This window comes from Homo sapiens, chromosome 13 (assembly GCF_000001405.40).
Source record: "Homo sapiens chromosome 13, GRCh38.p14 Primary Assembly".
Lineage (NCBI taxonomy): Eukaryota > Metazoa > Chordata > Mammalia > Primates > Hominidae > Homo > Homo sapiens.
In genome coordinates this window covers 90,225,130-90,240,794 of record NC_000013.11, presented here as the reverse complement: position 1 = coordinate 90,240,794, position 15,665 = coordinate 90,225,130, and the positions used below count along the sequence as shown (strand labels likewise).

General features: G+C 37.7%; 1 non-coding gene and 1 pseudogene across 1 annotated transcript; both read right to left on the bottom strand.

The window, feature by feature from the left end:
• KRT18P27 (keratin 18 pseudogene 27) lies at window positions 9,058-10,464 on the bottom strand (annotated as a pseudogene).
• MIR622 (microRNA 622) lies at window positions 9,518-9,613 on the bottom strand. Its single transcript, NR_030754.1, has one exon. It is a non-coding gene; the product is annotated as a microRNA 622 (primary transcript).

Here is a 15,665-nt window from a genome sequence, read left to right as displayed (position 1 = left end):
AGTGGGTTGCTGAAATATTCAACTATTATTGTTGAATGTTTTATTCTCATCCCCCACTGTGCAGCAGAGCTGAGTTCTCTGAGTTAAATACAAAACATCACCACAGTCTGAGATTAGAGATTTTGTAGTAATCTCCAAGTTCAAACAAAATATTGTCTGTGCTCTGGGAGTGATGCTTTGAAGGGAACTCCAGAAGAGGTTAAATCTCATTGTCTGCAGTACTTCTGTATTTTTGCTACTGTGCCATTGATCTGGGGTAAAAAGGAGTGATACGAGTAGAACCACAGATCTTGCTGTCATACTTACATTCAATATTTTCTCTAGGATCACTCTAATTACTAGAGTTCTGCTATGGCAGGTTTTAGGTTGTTTTGCTAGTACTTTTATAGTTTTAGAGAGAGAGTTCACTGAGGTCCTCATTATGTCATACTGTATGTATATGATTATTGAACAATAGTAGTGTCTGGGAAAAGAAAGCTTTTTAAATTCTTTACTGGAGCTAATGAGTCTTGGTTCCATATCCTAAGATTCTCTAGGAGTTGTTAATGTCATTATAGTTGCAATTAACAAAATAAATATGGCTTCTGAAAAATCTATTATTTAGTTTACAGAAGTAACATTCAGAGTACCTTGGTAGGTCATCTTAGTCTATTTTAGCTTCAACTTTATAGTTCTAAAAACCTAAATTGAGCAGAGTATATAGAGATAATTTGATTCAGAAGAACTGATTCAAACTAACAAATCGAAATGTGTTAACCAAAACGCAAACTTTACTTTGATTTACATTAATCACCATGCCTTACTGAGGGGCCTAAATATTCAAATAATCAACATAGCTTGAAAGTGACTTAAAGGCATATCTAAAAAGTATAACTATAATGCTATTCGATTAACAAGGAAAATAATACATTGTATCAATATTTAAAATATGGAATCACTTTTTATGTACTAGGCACTGTACTAATATTTTTTGATATATTACCCAAGTTATCTTTTCAAACCTTCATATGATGGCTATAATGATTATTGCCGCATATACAAAAATGGACTAGAGTAAGAGAGATTAGAAAATCATTCTCATATTTTAATTAAATATTTGATGGCCTACTTATAGTTAAAATACTAAGAAGATAGAAACAGTGGAGCCCTTCTTGAAATCTTTTTCTCCCTAATATTTTTATGTTGTATCCTATAAATCATCATGTACTTTTAATTTTACCTTCTAAATAATTTTCGCATGTGTATTTTCTTATTCATCTTTGCTACTACTGCCCGAATATTGGCCTTTAATATTTCTTAACTGGGTCATCTTAACAGCCTCCCTATTGATTTCTTTCCTAAGCATCTTTGACCTATTAACACATACTTCATATTGCACCCATAATTATCTTTCTACAATGCAAATATGACAATGCCACCCCTAGTTTTTGTACTTTAATTTCCCCCTTCCATCGCAAATGTAGTTGTAAACACAGACACGGTCTTCTCAAGATCATTGAGGGGCATATGTAAAAATTATCAGAGGAATCTCCTGGTAAGAGGCCCTTCTCACCTTGCCAAATACATAAAGGAGATTCAAAAAGTATTTGTTGAATAAATCAATGAATGCATGAAATATAACACTAAGAAAGTGAAGAGGATTAGGGAGATGGAAGAAATAAGATATTTACAGCCCTCTCCTGGATAGTGCTATGGTCAAATGATAGGGAGAGTAATGGCACAAGTACAATAAACATTATTAGAGTTTTTTTCCCTTTTTTTCCTGTATTTCCCCCATTTTCTCCCAAAATAGTCTATTAAAGACAGAAAAATAAGACATAATCAAACAAATGTTCTACTTCAGACCAAGATGTTTACTACTGTATCAATCAACTAAAAAAAAGTAAAAATACATGAAACAACGGTTTTCAAGACACTAAACATCAGCCAACAATGGACAGTGAGCCCTGAAAGACCAGAACTCAACAAAGTAAATCCTACAATTGTTCCAGCTGCTAGTCCTGAGATTTTTTTACACCATAACAGGAAGCAAGTAACTAGGCCAAGCCTGGCAGACTCCCTGAACTGAGCAGGCAAAGTTGGTCAGAGTTACCAAGGTGGCTAGAGTTCATGAAACAGATATGTAGATAAGACAGCTGCACAGGGAGAAGGCGGGAGTCTGAGGTGTCCTCTTCCAGCATCCAGCAGTGCTGGTCAGAGTATGCAAATGAGGAAGCAGTGAAGACATACCCCGGAGGCTTTTAACGTCTTTACTATTAACTTCCTTCTGACCACAAAGAAAACTTTTCTTGGCACAAACCTAGGACTTTGTTCAAGATGTCCATCCGTCTCTACTACTAGTAAGTAAATAGTTCTTTAGCAGTACTTTCTTCCTGGAATCAACTTAAGATTTTAACATTTGGTTGATAAAATCTACAAGTGTGGTAATGAAAGATATTTGTTCCATATTTTGCTTCTTACAAATGCTCATAGCTCTTATCATATTCTCATAAATACCACAAAAGTCCAGTTATTTTCTTGCACAAGATAAAGATTTATGCTTTCCAAAGACTGTGAATATATCATGTCATTTTTTTCATCAGTCTCATATTACTAAAAACTACATCTAAGACATCTAATTAAATGCAAATGAATACAATTTAACATAAAATGCTATTTCATTGATAGTACATTTTAAGATTTCAACCTCAATTTTTAGCTATATTAAAGTATCTCAGAGATATCTTCTATGTAAATACACAAAATAAAATGGATTGTAATGAAAACATTTATTGCTATACATACAATAGTATTTTAACAATTACAAAAGTATTATTTCTTCTATTGCTTTCTATTTAATCAAATAGAAAATATGACATAACACTCCTGTGAAGTACTTTGGATAAATTATGTATAAAAAATGTAAAATATATAGAAATACAAAATATTATACTCAAATTTGAATTTTTTTAAATTGTCATGTGAACTATAATGATACAGTATTAATTTTTCTTGTTTAGAAAATGCATTAATGTATGTTAAAACCAATGTATGTATATTTTAATTCTAATACCATAGTTAAAATATTAATATGAGTTATCTCGTTATCATTTGATATGATAGCTCTAAAATTCAAAGTTATTTCTTAAAGAAATACATAATAGTGCATATAGTAATGTGACTTTAAAATATATTTTCATGGGAAAAGAGATGGGAGAGCTTAACCCTTTTTTCTTTTTTTTTTGAGATGCAGTTTTGCTCTTTCGCCCAGTCTGGAGCGCAGTGGCGCCATCTCTGCTCACTGCAACCTCCACCTTCCAGTTTCAAGTGATTCTCCTGCCTCAGCCTCCCAAGCAGCTGGGATTACAGGCGCCCACCACCACGCCCAGCTAATTTTGTATTTTTAGTATAGATGGGGTTTCACCATGTTGGCCAGGCTGATCTCAAACTCCTCACCTCAAACTCTGCCTGCCTTGGCCTCCCCAAGTGCTGAGATTACAGGTGTGAGCCACCGTGCCTGGCCAGAGAGCTTAACCCTTAATTGGCATTTTCTATGATGACATATGAACCCAAATATCAAGCTGCATATGGTCATCCACTCAAACCTATCACATATATGTGCAAAATACCATCTCACAGCTGGTGATGAACTATTCACAAGTTTCTATTTGTTTACTCAGGTACAATTCTAATCTCTAAGAGAAAAATGTTTTCAGTTTTCAGCCTTTTAGTGTTAAGTGAAGCTCTACACATACAAAATTACTACTTCAATAAAAACTCATTAAATTTCATGAGAGGGCTGGAGAATAAGGTGGAGGAAATCTGGAAATGGGACAACAGTACCAACAAATTTTCAAAAAATGTATGAAAGATAAACTAAATTTAGAGCATCAGAATCCTTGGATAAGAGTTCTTCTGCCAATAAGCTAGATGACAGAAAAAGAAAGAGGAGAAAAAAAAAGATTAAAATGATGAAAGGCATTTATCAAAGAAAGAGTGCTAAAATAGAACAAAACAGAAATCAAACACAAAAATTAGCTGTTCGGGTCCCAGCCATCATCTTCATCATCCCTGTGGCAGGGAGAAGCAAGGGATGGGGTTGCAGAGGGCTCACATCCACTTTCACTAAACTTCATTTCTACAGGGTTACCCACTACCCTTCACTGAATTTCACTGGCCAGATTTTGGTACATGGCCCAATCTAGCTACTAGGGAGGCAGTATGCATGAAATGAATTAAAAAGAAAAACAGGCTGGGCACGGTGGCTCACGCCTGTAATCCCAGCACTTTGGAAGACCGAGGCGGGCAGATCACGAGGCCAGGAGTTCAACACTAGCCTGATCAATATGGTGAAACTCCATCTCTACTAAAAATACAAAAAATTAGCTGGGCATGGTGGCAAGTGCCTGTAGTCCCAGCTACTCGGGAGACTGAAGCAGGAGAATTGCTTGAACCCAGAAGGGAGAAGTTGCAGTGAGACGAGATTGCACCACTGCACTCAAGCTTGGGGGACAGAGCGAGACTCCATCTCAAAAAAAAAAAAAAAAAAGAAGAAGAAGAAGAAGAAAAACAATGTTGTAGAAGAGAAGAGTGAACCTATACTATTACGTAAATTATATACTCTATGATCTGTGAATAATATTTCCATAATCATAGAATGTTAGTGCTGAATAATGATTTAACAAAAAGTGTGAACTTTTATTTTGGGGGTATTCACATTATGTCTGGCGAATTCATTAGTGTTAAAGCCTCATCTTTCATAATAGTAATCATATATCATCTCTAAAACAGAAACAAAAAACTAACATTATAATTGATAAAGGAAGAAAAATCAATCAAAATTGCTCCCTTTAAGTGGAAGGATTTGAGTACCTTATTTCTTTTAAAATTTTTATATTGTACACGTTTCCTTAAGGAAACATGAAAAATTGATTTTTTTGAAAAGGTAGGACTAATGGTTTGGTGGTATGGAAGAAGTTGTAAAATTGCAAGGACAGGGGTACTATAGTCAGAGAATTTACAAGAACTTGAAGGACTGGAATTGATACATTAGTACTGACAATAGGGGTGGCCATGGGAGTTAATGGCTGAGCTAAGTTGGAGAAATGTTATTAAATTCTAAGAGGTTAAGGAACTGAGAAGAAAAGTTTTTGAATAATCTTTCATGGGAATGATGATAATATCACTAAGATTAATAATAGAAGAAGGACTCGATTTTTTAAAAAATGAGGAGAGTGATCAGGAGATAGATGATAACTACATAGGGAAATATGGCATGGCATAATCGTTGGACATCTGGGTCAAATGACTTGTGAGTTTTTAAGGCAGAAGATAGAAAAATGATTTGAAAGTGGTAATGAAGAACAGTGTGAGTCTTACACCTCACCACTAAGACCTGAGCTATTGAGTTAGGAGAGGAAAGAAAAGAGTCCACCTGAAAAAGCTGCAGAGAAGACGGTGTCTTTATCAGAAACTCACTTATTTGGAGAAGTAATGGGAACATTCAGAAAACTGACTAAGGCTTAAGGGGAATTGCTAATGATAGCCCATATATTTCAGACTTGGGATGTATAAAACATTATGAGCGTTAGAATTGGTTGGTATAAAAGGGAGTAGAAAGTCCGGGTTCTGGCGAAGATATTAGTAAAAAGAGAAGTAGGATATCATGGAGTTAGTACCTAATGCGCTCAACTGGGTATTTCTGGTGACTCATTGTCTTCAGAGAAAAGTCACCAAGACATCAGGGGATTGTTAACTCCTGAGGGAGAGCTATTCTGGAGTTTGATGTGGTACAATTGTGCTCAATAAATGAAAAAGTAATTTACAAATAAAGCCATGGTTGGAAACATGAAAATTCAGAACTATCTGAAAACATTGTTATCTACAAGCAGAAATAAGATTATTACAGAGAGCCTAATATATAGGAAAAAAGAGGTTAAGGTACTGATCAGAAAGAAAAACGACACAACAAAGAGAAAAATAAATGGAGAATAGCTACCTAACAACAAGAAATGGAACAAAAAAATACAGTGAACATAAACCACCCTGAAAGGGAGCACTGTTGGCAGTGATTAAAAAAAAATAAAAGAAAACTGTACGGTTTTCTTGAAGGACTGCCTTTGACTTTACCTCGTATTCAGCTTCCTTTGCTCCCCATACACAACATGCTTGCAAGCCTCTAATAACCATTGACTAGCAACGTGAAGCCCAAGAAATACAGTGAATTTCTGTGTACAGAAAGAACTGCTTTTATTAGCTGCCAGACACAGCCTAGAATAAAGTTTTGGCAACAGTCGAGTAAATTGCTTCAGTGGATGGAAGTATACTTTTCTTGGCTTTCTGGGTAGGAACCGTACAGCGGCCTCTGGAGGCTGGCTGATAGAATGGATCCCATTATTTATTGATATATCATCTTAAAACTGATAAAGATGTTGTGTAATTATTTTTACCTCTTAAACTCCTATTGATATCAGGAATTAGATTTTAGTCTTCATTTATCTGTTTCTAAACTTCAACATGATTAAAAGTATGTTCAGCTTTCATGATTCTCTAAACTAAAATATTGTGGGTTTGTTATCATGAAAACCTATTTCTCAAAAAGGCACTTCTCTCTGAGATAACACTGGGGCTAGTAGTGAATATACTGGTATATTGGATATTCAATGCCAGTTAATTCTGAATGTAATCTTAGTTCTAGTCTAATAGCCAGGCGTATAGTGTTACTTATAGCCACTATATTAACAGAAGTTTTTATTTAAAAAGAAGATGCTACAGTATTGAACGTGCTAATATAGAACTAAAATGTTTGGAAAAAAAGACATTATAAGAGTGTGAATTTTAAGCTGTTTTGTTTCTCTTATTTAATCCATAAATATGGTGCCGTAATTAGGTTCAGAAAATTAAAAAGATGAAGCTTTTATAAATTAGTAAGTATTAAGTCTCTCCTAATATTGAAATAACCCCATACATTAAGTTTTCTTACATTCCAAATCCAAGAGCAAGAATATTCTTAGAAATCTTTACATAGGACCAGGCACGGTGGCTCAGCTTCTAATCTGAGCACTTCGAGAGGCCGAGGTGGGTGGATCACGAGGTCAGGAATTCGAGACCAGTCTGACCAACATGGTGAAACACCCCGTGTTTACTAAAAGTACAAAAATTAACCCGGCGTGGTGGCTCGCGCCTGTAATCCCAGCTACTCAGGAGGCTGAAGAAAGAAAATCGCTTGAACCCGGGAGGCAAAGGTTGCAGCGAGCCGAGATCTTGCCACTGCATTCCAGCCTGGGTGACAGAGGGAAAAAAGAAAGAAAGAAAGAAAGAAATTTTTACATAGCTAGATTTTAGGAAGAAAAATATTTTTTTTTCATGGAGTTGGAGAACCTTATTTCCCACGCAAGTATGATTCTGTCATAATCAAGTCTGCAGTCATCTCTTTCCACAGAAGAGAAAAACTATAAGAACCCACCTGAACCAATGGAGAAGGTGCATGTGATAAACAACTGTATTGTAATTTTCTTAAGTGCTTGAATAAAATAGCCAGTCAGCCAGGTAATATACACAATTGTCCAGCATTTTGAAGATATAAAAAACAAACTTGAAATGGCATAACATGTATTTATTTATTTATTTATTTATTTGAGATGGAGTCTCGCTCCGTTGCCTGGGCTAGAGTGCAGTGGCGCGATCTCAGCTCACTGCAACCTCCGCCTTCTGGATTCAAGCAATTCTCCTGCCTCAGCCACCTGAGTAACTGGGGCTACAGGCGTGCGCCACTACGCCCAGCTAATTTTTATATTTTTAGTAGAGATGGGGTTTCACCATGTTGGTTGGGCAGGATGGCCTCGATCCCTTGACCTCGTGATCTGCCCGCCTCGGCCTTCCAAAGTGCCGGTATTACAGGTGTGAGCCACAGCGCCCGGCCCATTTGTTTATTTTCTTAATACTCAACACTTGAAGGCAAATAATGTACAATAATAATCTGACAATTATTGAAAATTATATATTTTTTAAAAATAAAAATTTTGGTTTCAGAAAGTTTTTTAATGTGAGGTACTATATTTTCTTAATTATAACTCATAGAGAATCTAGCCAATTAAGAATGTTCATAAATCAATAAATATTACTTGAATAATGATGCTACATACAAAGACCAAATGAAAACTATGTGGGCAAATTGTTGGCAGCAGATAGGTTTCCTTTAGAAATTCCTTTCACATAACACTATTTGGACAGAATGTTACCTATTTCAATCACTTCTAAACCATCTTGAGAATGGAAAGTCAAGGAGAATTGCAGAGTTTTTTAACTATTTGATGAGAACTTTATCACCTTTCCTTTGATGTGTAACTTTCTCTTGAGAGAGGCCTAGGGCAGCTCTGACTGAGATTGGCATCTGAAGAATCTAAGTGTTGTAATGTTGTGATCCCTTCATTGTATTTGTTTGTGGGTAAATATTTTATAAAAGCCTTCAAATATAAAACTTCCCTGGTCATGATTTTTAACATTCTCTCTGGTTTAACCAAGTTTCTTTTCTTATTTTGTCTTAAGGCAAACTGTAGTAAGCAGTTTTCAAACATCAAAATCAACAAGCTCATACTTAGTTTGAGATTAGTTAAATACTAATCCTAAATCATTTCAAACAAAGCTGACTAGTAGTTATCAAAAATTAATTTGTTATGATTGGCATTTTATTATAATCTTTAATAATAATAAAGTTGATTGTGTTTGATCAATTTCAAAATTTTAACAGAGATCTGTGAGCTCTTTATGAATGAACATTACATAAAACTTGAGTGTAGGCTCTATGTTCAAAAAATATCCATACATTTTAAACTTCAGTTATTATGGGATTCATCTTTTTGACTAAGGAAAATAGTTGAAATAACATATTCTGTAAAAAAGCAGTTCTATCAGAAAAATCTTCAAGTCATGGCACACAGTGGCTCATGCCTGTAATCCCAGCACTTTGGGAGGCCAAAGCAGAGTGGATCACTTGAGGTCAGAAGTTCGAGACCAGCCTGGCCAACACAGTGAAACCCTGTCTCTACTTTATTTTTTTAATTAATTTATTTTTTTTGCCTCTGAACTTCTTATTGGCCTCCTGCTCCCCAAAGGGTACCCTGCGTCTGCTGGCTTAATGTCTCAGAACTTTGGTGTCGTTGGTCTCAGACACCACTTTGTCATCCACTATCCTGCAGGTGGTGGACTTTTGGTTGTTTCCATGGAGCTGCTGCTGTCCAGGGCATCACCATGATTGAAGTTCTTCCCGTCTTCCAGTGGGCTGCAGTAGGTGGCAATCTCAGCCTCCAGCTTGACCTTGATGTTCAGCAGGGCTTCGTACTCCTGGGCCTGGCGCTGTCCCTCTGCCCGAGTCTGTGCCAGCTCTGACTCCAGGTGCAGCAGGATGGCATTGAGCTGCCCCATCTGCAGGGCATAGCAGACCTCCACCTCCCTCAGGCTGTTCTCCAAGCTGGCCTTCAGATTTCTCATGGAGTCCAAGTCGATCTCCAAGGACTAGACTGTATGTCTCAGCTCCGTGAGTGTCATCTCAGCAGCTCCAACCTCAGCAGACTGTGTGATGACCACTGTGGTGCTCTCCTCAATCTGCTGAGACCAGTACTTGTCCAGCTTCTCTCGGTTCTTCCCAGCCAGCTCATCGTATTGGGCCGAATGTCTGCCATGATCTTGGTGAGGTCCTGCGATTTGGGGGCTTCTATCTCCATGGTCAACCCAGAGCTGTCAATCTGGGCTTGTAAGCCTTTTACTTCCTCTTCCTAGTTCTTCTTCATGAAGAGCAGCTCCTCTTTGAGAGCCTCGATCTCTGTCTCCCTGCTACAGCTGAGTGACATTAGTGTCATCAATGACCTTGCAGAGCCCATGGATGTCACTCTCCACAGACTGACGCATGGCCAGCTCTGTCTCATACTTGACTCTAAGGTCATCAGCAGTAAGACGGGCATTGTCTATCTGCAGAACGATGTGGGCATTGTCCACAATATTTGCGAAGATCTGAGCGCTCAGTTCCTCGATGGTCTTGAAGTAATGGCTCCAGTCCCTGTCCTGGGGTCCCTTCTTCTCCAGGTGCTCCCGGATTTTGCTCTTCAGGATTTTGCTCTTCAGCTTCGGGTTCTCAGTCTCCAGGCTCCTCACTGTCCAGGTAGGAGGCCAGGCGGTCATTCATGCTTTGCATGGTCTCCTCGTTCTAGATGCCTCCCATTCCTGCCAAATCCCCCGCCATCCTCATGGCCAGGCCCCGAGACCCCATGCCGCCCAGGAAGCTGGTAGAGCGGGACACGGAGATCCGGGAACCAGGGCCCCTGGCGGCTGCATAGACGATGGCCGCGCTGCTGCCTGGCAGGGCACCATAGCTGGACACCTGGACAGAGCCCAGGGAACGGTAGTTGGTGGAGAGGGTGGAGCGAGTGGTGAAGCTCATGCTGTTTGGGGAGGAGAGCGAGAGGACAGGACTCAGGCTTTGCCAACGACCCCCTGTCTCTACTTTAAATACAAAAATTAGCTGAGCATGGTGGCGCATGCCTGTAATCCCAGTTACTCGGGAGGCTGAGACAGGAGAATCGCTTGAACCTGGGAAGTGGAGGTTGCAGTGAGCAGAAATCCCGCCAATGCATGCACTCCAGCCTGGGAGACAGAGTGAGACTCCATCTCCAAAAACCAACCAACCCAACAAACAAAATTTTCAAGTCAACCAAAAAATTGTCGATAGGCCTTTGTTTGTTTGTTTGTTTTACCTGATTTCTCTTAAATTAATGTTGCTCTTAACTCTGAGATAACAAAACAAGGGATTGGTTCATATGTAGGTATCAGTAGAAGTAAAGAGGAAGAGGAACTATAGGAAATGATATTTCAATGTGAGTGTTTTAACATGGTATTGTTTAAACCCAGCTATTTCAAAAGATTTTGTAGTCTTACTGATGATAATATGTCATTGCTACGGGAAGAAAGGTACAAACACAAGTTGAAGACAACATCCTTAATCTAACTTGGAAACAACCTGGGTGCTACTCAATACTCATATTAACGAACTCTATAATGTTTTGACTGCTGAATAAAGTTACTTTAACTAACTTCCAATATCTTCTAATTCATGTATACTTTTAATATATCTCTCCTTTGTGTTTGTATAGATGTATACAGCATGGGTTTGTGAGAAATTTTTCTTGAGAATATATTATTATTAAGCCATAAACTCAGGACAATTTTGGTTTACTAAAGACCAAGGCTGCTTTCATCTGTTCCACCAAAAATGGTTTAATGGTACCACTCACCACCCTTGCCTCTCCTTTCCAGCTCCAGAACATTTAGTTCTCTGTCCTCAGTACCTTCATAGTACCAAATGTATATTTCTGTCCTAACACTTGCCACATTGTGCTGTCAGGTTTTACTATACTTGTGGACCCAGGAGAAAAATGTGCAGCCCTGATATAGGTTTCTTGGTATAGTTGATACTTTGTCATTTCATAACCTGTGCTGAACATAATTTCTGGCTCTTGTTGGATCTCAATGAGAATTTTTGAAAGAATAAATAAATAGTAGGAGCAATGTGAATTTCTGCAAGCAACTTGCTTTTGGAAACAAATTAATCCATTTGTCTTTATTCCTATTCTCTATGGATAGGGAATGTGCAAATTGTTAATGTCCAAATTGTGAATGTTAATTTTTATTCTTTGAAGTAGAATGGGCTGAAAAGAAGTCAAACTGTACATTAACTCTAAATTTTACCTGGAATAGTAGTAACTGAGTCAATGAATTCTGGGAAGAAAATTCTTGAGTTTTTAATCCTGACTTCTGTTATAAATTGTCTGGATATATGCTCCCTGCCTATGTCATAGCATGAGAATAGCAGTAATGGCAGAATGAGCTGATCTACAATATCAATTTACCAAGAAGGAAATGGGCCAGGTGCAGTGGCTCACGCCTGTAATCCGGGCACTTTGGGAGGCTGAGGTGGGTGGATCACTTGAGGTCAGGAGTTCAAGACCAGCCTGGCCAACACGGTGAAACATTGTCTTCACTAAAAATATAAAAATTAGCTGGGCCTAGTGGCATGTGCCTCTAATCCCAGCTACTCATAAGGCTGAGGCAGGAGAATCACTTGAACCTGGGAGGCAGTTGTTGTAGTGGCCCGAGATCGCACCACTGCATTCCACCTTGGGCGACAGAGGGAGACTCTCTCAAAAAAAATTAAAAAGTAAAATCTAGAAGAGTAGCTAAGATTTTATTCAAGCAATTATCTATTGAGAGACTTACCTAGACATGATTCTGTTGCTGATGAAATTTGACCTTGTCGCCACTTCCGGCCCTAACTCCCTTTTGAGTTTGGCTTACACAGCTCATCTGCAGGGCTCTCTGAAACACAGCACTTCTTTGCCAGGGTAAGAAACTTTGTTTTCCTGCTTCAATCTCTGAGTACTATGTGTTATTAATTCTCTTTCCTTAAGGCCCTGTCAACATACGCTGTGTGAGCTTACAGATTTGTTAAGATACAATGGTAGTACCCTACTCCTTCACTAGAGTAGAAATGTAAGGTATGGATAATTAAGTTCAAAAGATTCCTTGAGCCACGAGAATACAACATACATCAGTATTTGGGAGACAAAAAGATGTATTTTTCTTTTCTTTCTTTTTTTTTTTTTTTTTGAGACAGAGTCGTGCTCTGCTTTGTTGCTCAGGCTGGAATGCAATAGTGCGATCTCGACTCACTGCAACCTTCGCCTCCCGGGTTCAAGTGATTTTCCTGCCTCAGCCTCCTGAGTAGCTGGGACTACAGGCATGTGCCACCATGCCTGGCTAATTTTTGTATTTTTAGTACAGATAGGATTTTGCCATTTTGGCCAGGCTGGTCTTGAATTCCTGACTTCAGGTGATCCACCCAACCTTGGCCTCCCAAAGTGCTGGGATTACAGGTGTGAGCCACCACACCAGTCCCAAAAAGATGTATTTTCTCTATCTTTTAAATTATTTTGTAAATATAATAAATATTCAGAGGATTAGAAAATATAAAAATGTGAAAAAATGTTTGGGAGTCTGGCCTATTATGACCTCACAGGATTTTTCAAATTTGCTTCTATGACACTATATCATATTAATACCTGTAATTTTGAGGTAGGAAAAAAATTGTATATTGCTTTTAACAAAAACTTTGATTTAGGCACTGAATTATTCTTTCATAATATTCAGTTTGCTTTCAGATTTCAATAAATTTGCTATTTTAATATGCCCAATTTCTTAGCCTATTATACTCTGACATTCATTATTAGCAGGATTTTGTAAAATAAAAATATTTGAAATTATCTGTGTGGGACCAAGCTGAATTAAGAAATGTGGCTCTAGAACTGTTTTCATTTGAGACTTGTTTTAATTTCGAATACTGACCCCATGTGCACATATAGACACAGCACCTCATGGAGAAATTGAGCAAGGTTTGCCTCACCAGTGATTACCTGCTCTTCTCTTTCCTGTCACTAACGGTGTCCAAAATAGTAATTACTGCTTTAAGGGTGTCCAGATAACTCTGCTCCAACCAGTGAGATATAAGTTGACTTCACAGAATGAGGCTTCTAAGAACCCATAAAGGGAAACATAGGCTGTGAAAACATTTTGTCCTTTGTTCTTCTCTGACCTGGAGTGCACTAAGTGATGTTGAAGATGAAGCAGGCAATGAAAACCTTTTCACCTTAATGTCCCCACTAATTATTAAGAAAACTATCACTCTTACCTCCTAAAACAAGCCAGTAGATTCACCAACTATTATTTTTTTTTTTTTTAGAGAGACTATAAATTGAACCTGTAACAGAAGCATTTAAAAATCTGTTCAGACAGAAGAACTGGGTATTCACAACCGCCAACCTGATAAACTGTCTTAAACAGTTGCTCTTTTTTTTTTTTCTGCCTCTACATATCCAGAAGTTTGAAATAGTCTGGGCTAATACAAGAGCCCCAGTGTTATCAGGCACATGAGCATCCTTTAGAATTCCTTTCTCTGTTATTTTTCAAGTGGAGTGAGCTTTTCTGTGGTCGCAAGGTGCCTGCTTCACCTTCAACATCACTTAGGGCATTGCAATCCAGGAGAAGAACAAAGACAGACACAGTAATTTCACAGCCTATTTGCCCCATAATAGACTTTCATGGAAGCCATACTTCACAAAGGTGTTTATATTTTATTGGCCAGAATATACTTTTTTGGGCAACTTTAGACCAATGATTGGAAGCTAAATTTGGAGAAAGTATTTGTCCATAGGGTTAGTCAGCCAACCAATAGTGACCTCCACTGTTTTTACTTAAAGGTGATATGACAGACAAAAAAGAGAAAAGTTAAACAAAGGAATGTAATAATGCATACAATTTTTAAAATGTCCTTTCTACAGTGCCTTTGTGTACAGAATAGCTGACTAAAAGGAGTTACTAAGAATTCAGAACTCTGCTGTTGGTTTGCTTGGCTATGCTTTGCTGATGTGCAGAAAGGCTGGCATACTTAGTTGAGAAAACAATATGGAAATATCATTACATAAGACACAATTAATATCAATATATTTCTTTTATATATTACATACTTCCTAGGGAAAAATCACTCAAATACAAGCATTAGATTCAAAACTACAAGCTGATATAGGAGTGTTTACATTAATTACCAGTAACGAAATTTGAATTGGCCCTCATGGCCAAGGTAAAGTGCAACTGAACCCCAATACCTGAGCTTGGTTTTTCCTCAGCCACATTTCAACAGGTGCCTCTTATCCTTCCAATCAGGGAGGAAAAATGGAGTAGCCCAGGAATCCTTTGGAACTTCCTAAGCCTTCAATTAGAACAATATTTCACAATGTTTTTTTCATGTTGTGGCAAAATAGAATAGTACACTATTTGAAGTTCATGGAGGAAGATGCTCCTGCCTGGACTGGGCTGGGTTGAGCAATTTCATGGATAAAGTAGTTAAAGATCTTGGGACATCGTTAAACCATTCATAGCCTCCCTGTGCATCATAAAATGATTAAAAAAATTTCTTAGAACATAAGTTTATATCACAGCTAGGGTTTATCTACTAAGCTAAAGCATATTCTGCCAGGTAGTGATACTACAAATGACTGATCACCTTTCTTTGTGCCCCAAGTCTTTTTTCCCATCTGGAAAAATCGTCTCATTTTACAATTCAAATTTGTCTAATTTCATTTTATTTCAGATCCTTATGCCTGTCCTTTAAAAAAAAATCTTACTCCTTTCTTAAGGTTTTTTTTTCTAGAACCTGACTGTTCTCTTTTTATTAAATCAAAGTATGCAATATGGATCCTGAACAGTCATAGGCAAGCTGTGTGTATTGATTAGCAAGGTGGAGCTTGTCCCTGAACTGATTTTCTATTGGCAAATTCAGGGTAAGGCCAAGTATGAAGTCTGAATCCCGTGTTTTCTCTTTTTTCTTTTTTTTTTTTTTTTGGCTTCCCCTCTTTTTGTGACATTCTTGCCCTCACTCTTCAACCTCCTTGTCCCACTTAGACCCAACTCAAGAATGTTTTTTCCATTGGTGCTGGTTTTCAACCAGTCAGGATCTTTGGTCTTCTGACAAAATCTCTTATCATATAAAAGTAATTGTGTGAAATTATTTCAGCTGGTTTTAATATCACTTGGCATTTCATCTAAGTTATAGTTCCTTGAAAATAACTGAGTCTTCTAAATAT